The 13,875-nt window shown below is 46.6% G+C and overlaps 1 protein-coding gene and 1 long non-coding RNA gene across 9 annotated transcripts in view; one reads left to right on the forward strand and one right to left on the reverse strand.

Annotated features, from left to right (window-relative positions):
* Positions 1-13,875, forward strand: part of HRH1 (histamine receptor H1) — a 126,320-nt gene that overhangs the window by 3,628 nt on the left and 108,817 nt on the right. Inside the window, exon 1 of one of the 2 annotated variants that reach the window (NM_001098212.2) lies at positions 13,628-13,689. The exons of the other annotated variant lie outside the window; for it this stretch is intronic. The gene's annotated coding sequence lies outside the window, so the exon portion shown is untranslated. Of the gene's footprint in view, positions 1-13,627; positions 13,690-13,875 lie in introns of those variants that run through there. 2 annotated transcript variants of the gene reach the window in all.
* On the reverse strand, positions 507-13,535 carry LOC105376951 (uncharacterized). Of its 7 annotated transcripts, XR_940590.3 has the most exons (7): positions 13,399-13,535; positions 12,247-12,345; positions 11,536-11,676; positions 10,497-10,596; positions 8,485-8,594; positions 6,242-6,437; positions 5,062-5,382 (listed from the first exon to the last, which is right to left on the reverse strand). It is a non-coding gene; the product is annotated as an uncharacterized LOC105376951 (long non-coding RNA). The 7 variants fall into 7 exon arrangements; XR_940589.2 differs by lacking the exons at positions 11,536-11,676; positions 12,247-12,345 and adding an exon at positions 507-833 and having other exon boundaries at positions 5,052-5,382; XR_940592.3 differs by lacking the exons at positions 11,536-11,676; positions 12,247-12,345 and having other exon boundaries at positions 507-5,382; positions 6,242-6,384.

Raw genomic sequence — 13,875 nt, forward strand, 5'->3', positions numbered from 1 at the left:
GGGTTGTTGCTTTTCATTATTACTGTACAGGCCCGTGTGTGTTTCTGTGCAGAGAAATACCACACATTATGCATAAGCATCTGAACTTTCTCCCCTTGATTAAGCAGGTGCTCAAGGGCAGGGAAGGTGTTTGTTGCCTTTGGAGTGTACCCTCTGTCATCCCAAGCTATGAGGCCCAAGTAGAAGCCAGAATCCAAAATTCCTCTCCCCATCCTGGGATCCCAGGGCCATATTTTGCCTAGAGTCATAGGTTTTTGAGCTTCTGTCTCTCAGATCTGACCATAAAATCCTTAAGGTCAGGGACTCTGCAGGGAAGAGACTTCACTCATTCTGAACCTCAGTTTCTTTGTCTGTAAAATGGGGATAATAAACTTACCTATCTCACAGCATTACTGGAAGGGTTAAATGAAAAATCACACACTATGCTCCCAATAAACGTCAGTAATGAATACAAGGGTGATGTATTTATTATCTGTTGCTGCATAATGAATCACCCCAACATGTAGTGGCTTAAAACAACAATAATAATTTATTGTCTTTTATAATTTGGGGGGTCAGGATTTCAGGAGCAGCTTAGCTGGGCAGTTTTAGCCTGCTATCTCTCATGAGGCTGGGGCTTCAGTCATCTGAAGGCTTGACTTGGCTGGAGGATCCACTTCCAATTGGTTCACTCACATGTCCCAAGTTGATGCTGGCTGTTGGTGGGAGGCATTGGTTCTCCTTCAAAAGAGCCTCTCCACAGAGCTTCTTGAGTGTCCTCACAACATGGCAGCTGGCTTCCCCCAGTAGGTGATATAAGAGACCAAAGTGGAAGCCACACTATCTTTCATGATCTAGATAGAGAAGTCACATACTGTCACTTCTGCAGTATTCTATTGGTCATGGAAATCAGCCCTAATTCAGTGTGGGTTACCCAAGAACATGAATACCAGAAAGTGTCAGGGCCATCCTGGACACAAGCTATCCTAGATGATGCTATGTACATTCTTCATGTGTGATCACGTGTAGGGCAACTAGAAAGTGACATAGCCAAGATTTGAATTCATGTCTGCCTAGCTCCTGTTCCCAGCTCTTAACACTGCCCTGTGTTGGCACCCACTATCTTCATGCAAACAAAATCTTACTCTTTCAACAAGCCTTGTCTGAGCACCAACTGTACTAGATATGGGTAATGCCCTCTGCCCTCAAGGACCCCTTGGTCTACAAGGTATGTGGGTAGCAGAGCTAGACCAGGTCCCAAGTTCCCTGGCTTCTAGTTCACTGCTCTTTCTACCCTGGCATATGCAACAGAGGGAAAATCACCAAAGACTGGCAGCCCCTTTGGCAGAAACGGGTGGAAGAGAATTACAGAAAATGAACTGACCTTAGAGGCAGGAGTCCTGGAGCCTAGGTCTGTCTCTGACATTGATTTGTAGGACACCTTTGACAAGTCCCTTCTCTTCTCTGGGCCCAGCTGCCTTATTTGCAGAATTGCCTAAGGACCTTGCCTATGCAGATAGTTCATTCAATTACCATTCATTGAGGACCTACTCTGGGCCAGTTACTGCTCTAAGTGCTGGGGGTACAGTGAGGAAAAAGACAGAAACCCTGTGTTTGAGTCACTCACATTCAAATGGAGGCTTAGACACAATAAATAAGTAAACAAAGAAAAAAGACAATCAGAGATAGCAATGAGGACTAAGAAGGCCAAGTGATAAGCAGGAGCACTACCCTTACCCAGGAAAGTCTTCTCCAACGAGCCACAAGTGAGCAAAGACTGAATGATGAAGCCAGGCACAGTGGCTCACGCCTGTAATTCCAGCATTTTGGGAGGCCAAGACAGGCAGATCACGAGGTCAGGAGTTCAAGACCAGCTTGGCCAACACAGTGAAACCCTGTCTCTACCAAAAATACAAAAAATTAGCTGAGCATGGTGGCAGGTGCCTGTAATCCCACCTACCTGGGAGGCTGAGGCAGGAGAATTGCTTGTACCAGGTAGGTGGAGGTTGCAGTGTGCCAAGATCACGCCACTGCACTCCAGCCTGGGCAACAGAGCAAGACTCTGTTTTGGAAAAAAAAAAAAGATTGAATGATGATGAGGTGTCCGTGGCAAGATCTAAGGGATGAGTGTCCCAGGCATAGAGAACAGCGAGTGCAAAGGCCCCAAGACAGGACAAAAGCTTGCTGTGTTTGCAGGGCTGCAAAGAGCTGGAGGACAGTGGGCCCAGGGAACAGTGAAAGGAGGTGAGGACAGAGGGGACGCAGGGGTCAGATGATGTGAAGCCTTGTAGGCCAAAGGGAGGTGTGTGGAGTTGCTTCTAAGTGGGGTGTTTCTAAGTGGGGTGCTTCTAAGTTGCTTCTAAGTGGGGTGAGAAGCCTCTGGAGGGTTTTTAGTAAGAGTGATCTGATGTGTGTCCACAGGGCCCTCAACCTGCTGTGTGGAGAGTGGGCTGCAGAAGGCAAGGGTCTTGGTTCTTTTTGGTCAAGACCTCCAGATGTCCCAGCCTGAGAAGGCTTGTATGACTTGGGGCAGGAGAAGGGAGGGACATTACCACGCTGTATTACTGGGACAGTTCACCAGTCCCTGAGCTCACCATCTATCCAACTCCTGAGCAAGCTGATGGGAAAAACAACATGGAGCTCTGACCCTGGAAGCGATTCCTTAAATTCCCCACGAAGTTTTCCCAAACATCCCTGGAACTTCCAGATGCCTATTCTAGTCCGCAGGTTCATTGGTTGGGTTAATCCAAACTCACCCTGGCATTCCAGGCCTGCCTGGTCTAACCCCTCCAGTCTCCCTTGTAGAGTAGTAGATGAATGGTGACCCCTGGTCTGACCCCTGCAGATGAGTCTGCCTGGTAGACTCATCTCCCCCACATTCTCCAGTGTGGTCAGGCCAACCTGACTACCCACCATCCCCTGAGTGTTTCCTTTTCTTTCCTGCCTCCAAGGGTTTGCTCGTGCTGTTCTCTCCTCCTGAAACACATCCTCCCCCTTCAAGCCGGATCTTTTTTAGGTATCTTCAAGCTCCATCCCAAAATGCATGTCCTCCATGAAAAGACATTTTTCAAAAGATATACAAGTGGCCAAAAAAATATAAAAAAATGCTTAACATCACTAATCATCAGAGAAATGCAAATTGAAACTATAATGAGATGTCATCTTACACCAGTCAGAACGGCTATTGCTAAAAAGTCAAAAACCAACAGATGATGGTAGGGATGCAGAAAAAGGGGACCACTTACACAGTGTTGGTGGGAATGTAAATCAGTACAACCTCTATGGAAACCAGTATGGAGATTTCTCAAAGAACTAAAAATAGAACTACCCTTTGATCCAGCAATCTCACTACTGAGTATCTACTCAGAGGAAAATAAATTGTTGTATCAAAAAGACACCTGCACGCGTATGTTTATTGCAGCACTATTCACAACAACAAAATCATAGAATCAAACTAAGTGTCCATCAATGGAAAATTGGTCTAAAAATGTGATATGTATATGTGTGTGTGTGTGTGTGTGTGTGTATATATATGTCTATATGTGTATATATACATATAGACATACATCTATAGGTATATATACATATAGACATATAGACATACGTCTATAGGTATATATACATATAGACATATATATACACACACACACACGCCACACACATACATACACATCATGGAATACTACTCAGCCATGGCAAAGAATAAAATCGTGTCTTTTGCAGCAACTTCAAGCTGGAACCAGAAGCCATTATCATATGTCCTACAGCCCAGAGATGGGGTCATCACCACTTTAGCTACATAGCCTGAGAACAGGGAGGAGCAGGTCTTCCTGGGACAAACACAGTTCTGACTAAAGCAAAAGCAGAAGCAGGAGCCAAAGAGAGAAAAACAACATCTGGCCAACCACGACAACACTTATAAATGTAGCTCTTCCTGAATTGCTTGAACCCAGGAGGCAGAGGTTGCAGTGAGCCGAGATCACGCCACTGCACTCCAGCCTGGGTGACAGAGTGAGACTCCATCTCAAAAAATATATAATAAATAAATAAATAAATGTAGCTCTTCCTATCTTTTTCTCAGTAAATAGCTCCACCTTGCCATGAAAGGCAAGAACCCATGAGTTTCCTTAACGATTTCCTCTCCTGTCCCGCTATACTGCTGGTTACCAAAGTCTTCCTCCTAAGTATCTCTGGAAGCTCTTCTCCCAGCCCCAATCCCCATGGCCGCTGCGCTAGTTCAGGCCCCATACCCCATCTGTGGATTACTGCAACCACCTCTAAACCACCTTCCTCCCTTCCTCCAGAGTGGCCTCCTTAAAGTCCAACTCCAATCACAACTCTGCGGGGCCTCCCTTGGGCCTCCCTTTGGCTTGTGAGCTGTCAGATCTGACTCCCATTGACATCTGTGGCTTCGTCGTTTTGTCCCTTCCCCACACCCTCCTTCTCTCAGTCAACTTCTCTTGGGATGCTGTGAGTGCCCTTGCATGCTGTTTCCTTGAGCCTGGAATGCCCTTAGCCTTCTCTTTGTTTGACTTTCAGTACAGGTCCTTCAATGTTTAGCTGTCACCTCCCACAAGAAACCCTCCTTGAGTGTCTCTCTGTCCCTACTGCACCCCACACACAGTGTGTCTAATGCCTTTTCCAGGCTCTCATAGTGGGGCTGCCTGCTTGCCTCTATATCTCATCTAAGGTGAGATATTGTTTTTGAAATGTTTGCCTCTGTGTTTTTTTAAGGAAAATGAGATTTTTTAAATTGAGGGACAATTTGCATATGGTAAAATGTACAAATAATAAATGTAAAGTTCAATGAATTTTTGCCTGTCTATACATCTGTGTAACCATCCCAAAGATCAAAGTATAGAATTTTTCCAGAACTCCCTTCTCAGTCAGTAACAGTACCCCTCCTTCTCCTCCAGAGGTACCACTTCTAAAATCATAGATCAATTTTACTAATTATTTAGATAACTCTTCATATGAATAGAATGATATGTTTACTTTTTTGTGTTTATAATTATCAAAGTAGTGACTTTTACTTTCTTTCATGTTGTTGTAGGCAGTAATAGTTCATCTACCTCATTGCTGTAGAGTATCCCACAGTATGAATTTATTCAGGCTTCTATTGGTGAATATTTAGGTTGTTTCCAGTTTGGGCTATTATCAACAATGCTGTTCTGATTTATGTGCAGTCTTTTGTGGGTATATATTTTCATTGCTCTTGGAGACGTGACTCAGAGTGGAATTTCTGGATCATAGGGTAGATTTATGTTTATTAAAGTTGCCAAGGAGTTTTCCAAGGGATCGGTATCATTTTGCATTCCCATCAGTCACGTATGAGTTCCAGTGGTTCCACATCCTGTCCTACTTGACAACTTGATGTTGTCAGTCTTTCATATTTCATCCATTCTGGAGGAGACATGGAAGGAGGTCATTGGGGTTAATTTTCATTCTTGATGATTTCTGTTACCCAGGAGACTTACCTCCCCCTGTTTTAGGCTATTGTCTTGAGGCTACTGTCCTTTTCTGGCTTTGTAGAAAAAGAAAAACCAGAGTCTTTTCCAGGCTTTTGAGTTTCAAAAGTCTAGCATCTCAGGGGCAACAAGAAAAGGATCTTGTGCATTGATGAGATGGTCCCTATGGGGAAATGCAAGGGATTTAGGAGCAAGGCTGTGCCCCACTGAAACTAAAGAAGTGTTTCCAGACAAGAATGAGGGAGAGAGCTGGAGCATCCACAAGGGATGGGGGTAGGGTACAGGTCCCTGAGGTAGGAGGCACTTGAACCTGCTCCTTCTCTAGGCATGGTCCTGAGCTTGGAGACAGACACCAGAATTCCCAAAGGAGTCTGAAAAAATTAAATGTAGAAAGCACCTCAGCACTTCCTAGGCGGACACTCTAGAGGAGAAACGAATGGGTGTTTGGGGGTGGGCAGAAGAACCTCATATGTCTACCAGAATTCTCTGTGTCCTGGCAGCCATGGCAGCTAAGCAAAAGTTTCTGTGCACTTGAAAGGGGCTCTGGAAGAAGCTAAGAGAGGAAATGAGACTTAAGAACAAGGGACAACTCAGCAGTGACCTGTGTGGATGGGTGGCCCCTCCTCAGATAGGAATGAAGATGTGTCAACAAATGTCAGTGTGGATAAGTAATGATAAACCCCAAAGAAGTAGGAAAAACTTGACTTGCCAAAGGTTAAGATTTCCTCGCGTGTGATGGAAGATCTTAGCAGAGACTGAGTTCACTTACCAGGAAAGTTACCGTTCTCACTCACCTGAGTTTGCAGACTGAAATTTGACCACAGTCCCACTTTTCACACTGTACTATGCTTATTTGTTTTCCTTTCCTCTTCTTGAGACTCAAGGGCAGGGATAAGGTCTGATTCTTCCTGGAATCGGCAACCTCCTGACCCAGGGCCTGCCACAGAGTAGGGACTTGATGAAGATTTGTTAAATATTGTTTGTAAGCCCCTTAAAGAAAGGGAGAGAAAGAACCACATGGTTGAGCACCCACTACATCTAGAGTCCTGTACCTTTTAATACACATTGGCTGCTCTATGAGATAGGACTATGAACATCCCACTTTATAGATAAGCACATGACAGTCAGTATTTACTCATTTACTAAGCACCCACAATATGCCATGAAGAGGGCAAGGATCTGCCCTCAAGATATTCCAGTTGAGGAGAAAGATATCCAAATAAGCTACCTCAGCTATGATATGAGGTCAATACTAAAACAACGATGTGACAAGACTGTGATCCCATTCCAGTAGGTGTAGAAAAAAAAAAGACTGGTTTGCCTCTTAATAACCGTTCCCTCAATATCATTGTTCTAGGCACTTTACATGTATTAACTCGTAAGATCCTCACTACACCCAGATGAAGCTGATACTATTATTATCCCCATTTTACAGATGGAGAAATTGATGTGTAGAGTGGTGAAGTGACTTTCTAAATATCATGATGGACTTTAGGCCCAGGCTGTTTGATTCTAATGCCCATGTTCCTCATTCCAGCCCTGTTTCCACGCTCCCTGCCTGGTCCACTCTGTTTGAAACTCTCTTCTGGCTGGGTGTGGTGGCTCACGCCTGTAATCCCAGCACTTTGAGAGGCCAAGGTGGGTGGATCACAAAGTCAAGTGATCAAGACCATCCTGGCCAACATGGTGAAACTCTGTCTCTACTAAAAATACAAAAATTAGCTGGGCATGGTGGTGCACACCTGTAGTCCCAGCTACTCAAGAGGCTGAGGCAGGAGAAACGCTTGAACCCAGGAGGCGGAGGTTGCAGTGAGCTGAGATTGTGCCACTGCACTCCGGCCTAGCAACAGAGTGAGACTCTGTCAAACAAAAAAAAAAAAAAAAAAGAAAAGAAACTCTTCCTTCTCAATCCTGCCCATCTCACTGATTAACTCTTCACAACCTTCACATCACCTCTGACTTCCTCAATGCCCAAGAGTGGGAGATATTCACTCCTCCCTACCTTCACCACTGTTCCCATAGCATTTTATTTTTAGGATTCATATAAGTTAGGATCAGGTTTATCTGCATGTAAGAGAATATCCAAAACACCAGTAACATATGCAAGATAGAAGTGTCTTTATCATGTAAAAAAAAAGTATGGAAATAGACAACCCAGGGCTAATATAGCAGCTCCATGGTGTCAGCGACTGAGGTTATTTCATATTGCTGCTCCATCATCCCAGTACATGGTTCCTTTCCAAGGTGACACGAATGTGACTCAAAATGGCTACCGAAGCTCCAGGCATTACATCTACGTTCCAAGCAGCAGAAAAAAAGAAAGAAGAGTTTCCTTGTTCCGTTTACAGAGATTTCCCAGAAATCATCACAACACTTCCCCTCAGATCTCCTTGGCCAGAATTTGGTCACGTGGCTGCACCTTGCTACAAGGGAGGCTGGGAAATATAATATTTTAGTTGGATATTGAGAGAATAGTTATTAAGAGACAAACCACAGTCTTTTTTTTTTTTTTTTTTTTTTTTTGCTACACCAGCTGGAATGGGATCACAGTCTTGTCACATCATTATTTTAGCACTGATCTCATATCATAGCTGAGGTAGCTTATTTGAATCTCTTTCTCCTCAACTGGAATATCTTGAGGGCAGATGCTTGTCCTCTTCATCCTCATATCCCAAAGGCTAGCACAAGTTGTAGACACTTGAGATAGAGTGACTAGGTGTTATGTTGCTTTGCATGCTCTGTGGTCAATAGCACGGTTCTCTGCCCACAGCAGGCCTCCGCAAATTGTTCAACTGAAATAAATTTAAATGTTCTTGACCTCAGTTTCCCCATTTGTAACACAGGTATAAATGGCCACAAAGGTCAACCCCGTTTGGGTATTCTTAGTATCTATTATATAAAAGGTGCAATCTATAGATATATATTTTTAAAAACCAGCCAGAGATAGCCACTGTGTATAGCTTTTGCTCTTTCTCTATTTCTTCTGCATAAACATATATACATGCTTTGCATATAAATAGAAGCCCACTGTACATACCTTTTTATAATCAGCCATTTTCACTTAATAACACAGGAAGAGACTTTTGCTTTTGCCTATGAAAAAACTAGCTTGTGAAGATCAATCTTCTCCATAAACAATTAGAAAACCTGGGTAGAATTGTTCAAAGAAAATAAAAATCTGTTAGAAGGCACGAAAGAGCTATCCAGGAAGCCAGAACTTGAGGGATCAAGATCTCAGGGTGAAGAGAAATGAATGGAGCAGGGGCCTGACATTCTATGTGCTCTTTTCCATGAATTTGCCAATTCATAAAGAGCTAAACGGAGAGACTGAGAAGCTGAGAAGAAACCAAATGCTAAGAAGCAGAGAAGCTGAGCAGAACTTTCAGCAGTCTCACAGGACCGCAAAGACAAACAGAATTTATGCTGAACACATTTCTGAGCCATTACATGTTCTCCTACAGCGTATATGAACGTTCACTAAAGCTCAAAGACTGTATCCATACAGAGAATTCCTGGAAAGAACTCCAGAAATAATGAAACCAAACATCTAGCAATAGAAACCCAGAGACACTGAGTGACTTGCCTAGGACCACAGAGCCAATTGGTCCAGCCTCCTGGTCCAGTCTCCTGATCTAGCCTTCACTCACTGCAGTGCTCTGCAGCTGTGGCTTCTGCTCCCAGCATTCACCTCCCCATTCCTCCCCACACATCCTTGCCAGAGAGAAAGATCAACTTAATTTCACTTCTCATTGTGATCTTTTAATAAATGAAAGTGCCTTTCTGAAAGGAAATCAAACACAAATCCTTTTATAAAAATTACTGGTCATTTTTTCTAATTGCCAAAGTAATACAAATTTGCTAAAGAAATGTTAGAAAATACAGATAAGTAAAAGCAAGTGGAAACCACAGCTCTGGAGCTGAAATAGGGCCAAGTTGAAAATGGTCCATTTTGATCACTCTAAATAACATGCTGGCCCCTTGGCCACTTTGGTCCTGAAGGATGCACTTTGACTCTCACAAAGTAAGCAGGAAACAAATCAAGAGAAGGGCCATCCTGCCCACTTGGGGCGGCTGCATGAGAAAGAGCCATTTGGATTTCTCAGCACCCAGAGGGTGCAGTCCCCAGAGGAGACGGCTGACTCCATGATGCGATGGGTGGGGAGCTGGACCGGGCTCCCTGCCCGGACATCTCCGTCCACAGCTTGTTGCACAGCCTGGGAGCCCAACGTAGTGACACTCATTTCTTCTGGACCTTAAGGGCTTTGTGATTTTCCCATCTCCTCTGTGCAAATGCAAAGATGACTCCCTTGGTTAGTGGAGGATTTAAAGTTATCAGTGAAGACTTTAACTGGAACTTGTTTCAGAGTTGGGGGACATGGGTTCTGTGGCTAATTAACTGGGCAACTTGGGCAAGTAACTTCCTCTCCCCAGGCCTTCCTCTCCCCGGGCCTTCCTCGATTTCCCCATGTGAACAAGGAAGCAGTTGGGCTGGATTTGGTTAGCCACGATTCCTGTTTCCTAGAGGAGGGAAGAAGGAAGGGGATTTGGTTACCGAGCATCTACCAGAGCCAAGCACTGTGCTGAGCACTTTGCCTGCATGAGCTTATCTAATCCTGACAACAGCACTGTGAGGGAGAGGACATCTGTGTTCTTGCCTCTCCAGGACCCCTGTTATCCTGCTAATAGCACCTCGATTGTCTTTTAAGGAACCATCTCTCACCCACTCCTAGTTCCAGTGGCCTACAGCGGGCTGACTCTACTCCTTGACTTCAGATACAGGCATGTGACTCAGGCTTAGCCAACCAAAACAACTGTAACGGTTTCAGGACTGGGTATGTGATCCAGGCCAAGCCAATTGGAGTCAACCCTGGGATTTTTGCTGGAAATATTTGGAAAGACGTGATCTCTTTGCCTTGAGGTTGTTTAGCCATTTCCACCTCCCTATGGAAAGAGCCAGCCTGCTAATAAAAGTGGCACATATGTATAAAATAAAGCTGACAGAAAAGAAAACAGAGTCAAGACAGAGGGAGACAGATTTATGACAATTACCTTTGAGCCTCTGAAGCATCTGAATCCAGGCCTACTTCCTAAACGTTTTCATTCAAGAACACTTTATAGCCAAAGCCATTTATAATTGGGTTTAAGTTACCTGCAATCAAAAGAAACATCATGAAAATTCCTTTTTTGGGGGGGCGGTGGTGGTGGGTACAGGGTCTTGGTCTGTGGTCCAGGCTGAAATGAAGTGTTCAATCATAGCTCACTGCAGCCTTGATCCCCTGGGTTCAAGCAATCCTCCCTCCTGAGCCTCCTGAGTAGCTGGGACTACAGGCGCACACTGCCATGCCCAGCTAATTTATTTATTTTTTGTAGAGACAAGGTCTCCTCCCCGTGTTTCCCAGGCTAGTCTCAAACTCCTGAGCTCAAGTGATCCTCCCACCTTGGCCTCCCCAATCCTACCTGGGGATTACAGGGGCGAGCCACCATGCCCGGCCCATCACTAAAATTCTGGGTGTGACATAGGCATTACTATTCTTATTTTACATACAGATGAGGAAACTGAGGCTCAGAGAAGCAAAGTAAACACAGAGCTAGTAAGTGGCAGAGCAGGTATTTTTAATCTACTTATTTCTTCTCATTGCCTTCAGTCTCTACTCAGGCATTGAGGTTGTCCCTTTTTTCTGCTTCTTCCACAAAGCACAGAAGTAGGAGTGGGGCTGTGGGTCCAGACTGCTCCAGGCTCCAGATCTGGCTCAGCTGCTTCCCACCTGTCTGATCTTGGGAAGACTTACTAGCTGTATACTCTGAACAAACTCCTTCATCTCTTTGTTTTCTCATTTGCAAAACGGGATGACAACAGTACCTACCTCATGGGATTGTGAGGAATCGGTGCATTATTTATGTAAAGCTCTTAAATCAAGCCTGACACACAGTATGCAGTAAGCATGGGGCTGTTACTTTTCTGCTGCAGCCTGTATGTTGTTAGTAAGTTGATTGTGCCCTTCTGCTCCCCAACCCCTCATACAGCCTGGGGTACCTCCTGATCTGTCAGTTCCAAATGCCACAGCAAAACAACCCACACCCTGCTTACCAGGGGCTTGAAATCATGTCTAACATGTTGTTTCTAAGATGCTGATTTTTCTAAAAGTGCTGATCACCATGGGTTTAGCAGGCCTAAAACTAGCCCAGGAAGTGAAACTTTGGGGAGGAATTCCAAATAACCAAGCCTTTGCTGAAATGCAGAATGGAGAGAGGAGGGATGAAAGTGTGGACGCAGCCATTTCCCAGGCTTCCCCCACCCGCCCTGCCCCCATCCCCCCTCCCACCTCCATCCCCCCCTTACCTCCCTTAAGCCCCACAGCTATAGAGAGAGGAAATGTATTTCCTTTAGAATTTATAACAGTTGCTATCCTGAGTGCTAACTCGGTTCCAAAGGGTGCATTAGTCTGGTAAAGTGTAAAATATGGAGGCCCTGGAGAATCACCAGGGAGTGGGAGAGGGCTTTCGTGGATCCAGGGTGAGTCTTGGCTGTGGGGTTGTGCTAATGTGCAGAGGGCTGGCCAGAAAAACAAATGGGACATCCCTGACTTCTCGAATCCATAATGCCCAGGACAGTGACATGGCCTGCCATTATCTCAAGGCCAAAGTCTCATATCACTGGGCATCACAAAGTCCTTTAATCCCCACCTTGCAGATGGGATCAGTGATCTCTGAGCTACCATTTATGGAGCACTAAGCCCTTTATAGAAATGGCATCATGAAACTTTCCAACAGCCCCACGGAGATGAAGTTATAACAGCACCTTGGACCTTGGGGCCAGGCTGAGTAGGGTGGATGCTCAGTTCTCCTACATGTGACCTTGTGCAAGTTACTCAATCTCTCTGTGCCTTCATTTTCTCACCTGTAAAATAGGGATAATAATAGTTCCTACCTACTAGGACCTATTATTGTTGTGAGGATTAAATGAGTAAGCATCTGTAGCACTTAGAAAAGCATCTGACACAATGGCCCCTGTCTTTATGAACCCTTGTGTTACCGACATGGGCCCTGAGGCCAAGAAAAAGGACCATGGACCTACCATACACAGCTTGTGAAGCTGAGCCTCAGACCCAGCTCTGTGTGGTCCACAACCAGGGCTGGTGGGACTGCTGCTACTGGGAGGAGGCTAAAATACCCCTCTGACCCCCACCCCCACACCCCAACCCACCATGTCCCACCTCCTCAAACACCCTCCTCTCCCTGTGAGCTTAGGTGGTCCCTTCGAAACTGCTGGGGTAAAATCTGAAACCATAACTGTTCAAAGGTTCAAATGGAGTTTTCCCGGCGCTGAGAAGGCAGAAAAACCTCGACCTCTCTCTCCCAGCTCTGGAAATGAAGGCAGCCAGGAAGAATCCTCAAGCTCCCATTGCCAGGGACAGAGGTTCCCGGGGACCTGCAGAGGGGCCTCACCCCCACCCCACTCCTCCCCTTGCTGCTCGGGGTGGCACAGGTTGCTAATTAAAACACATCCTATTTTGAAATGTGGGCTCATTCATCAGGACGGGCTAGGGAGAAACAGAAGAGAGGTGTGAGGTTGTAGACCCTGGGGTCTCTTTAGTTCCCCGAAACCTCTAGGGGTAGGGTTCCTACTGTCAATCTTGTTCCACCTCTGTCTGACTTTGCCTTTTTCGATTTTGGCGCCCCTAGCAGGAATGAGGGGCGCAGGTATCACTATTTGTCTTTTTCAATCTATCTGTGATTGACTCTGCCAAACATCGTTTCATCTCTATTTCCATCTGTGCCTCTTTGTCTTGATTTATCTCTGTCTGTCGTTTTGTGTGCCCGCAGGTGCGTGGGTGGGGGTGGAGTTGTCTCACCAAGGTTCTGACCCTTCTGCCACCCCTCCTTCCAAACCCAAGGAGCAGTCCGCCTCGCAGAGCCCGAGCCCGGGTACCCAGCGGGAGCAGCTCCAAACCTGGGGCGCGAGCTGGGAGAGGGTGTCCGAGCGAGAGGCGCGCCCCTCGCGCCCCCTCTCTCCGCGGGGGCGGCCCTGGGCGCGTGGAACCGGGTGCGGGGGCGCTGCAGGCCCGCGGGGCCCGGGTCCCCGCCTTCCCCGCTGCTCGCGGGTGGGCCCCTCGGAGCGGCTCCTCCTCCGGCGCCCCGCTCCCCGAGAGCTCCCCGGCGCCCCCGCCGCCGCCCCCGCGACACCCAGCAGCCTGGCCGCCGCGGCCAACGCGCCACCAAACTTTCCCCGGAGCCGGCGCCGGTGAGTCGCAGCGGGGCGCGGGCTTGGGCGGGAGCGGGGCCGCCGCGGCTGGGCGAGGCTGCGCGCTGGCCAGGCTGGGTTCCGGGCATCCCGGCAGGGCGGCCGGGAACCCCGGAGCCGCCCGCTTGAGAAGAGCGCGCTTGGGTACCCTCGCGACGCGGGTGGCCTGGGGAGGGTGGCGGAGGG

This window comes from Homo sapiens, chromosome 3, assembly GCF_000001405.40.
Source record: "Homo sapiens chromosome 3, GRCh38.p14 Primary Assembly".
Classification (NCBI taxonomy): Eukaryota; Metazoa; Chordata; class Mammalia; order Primates; family Hominidae; genus Homo; species Homo sapiens.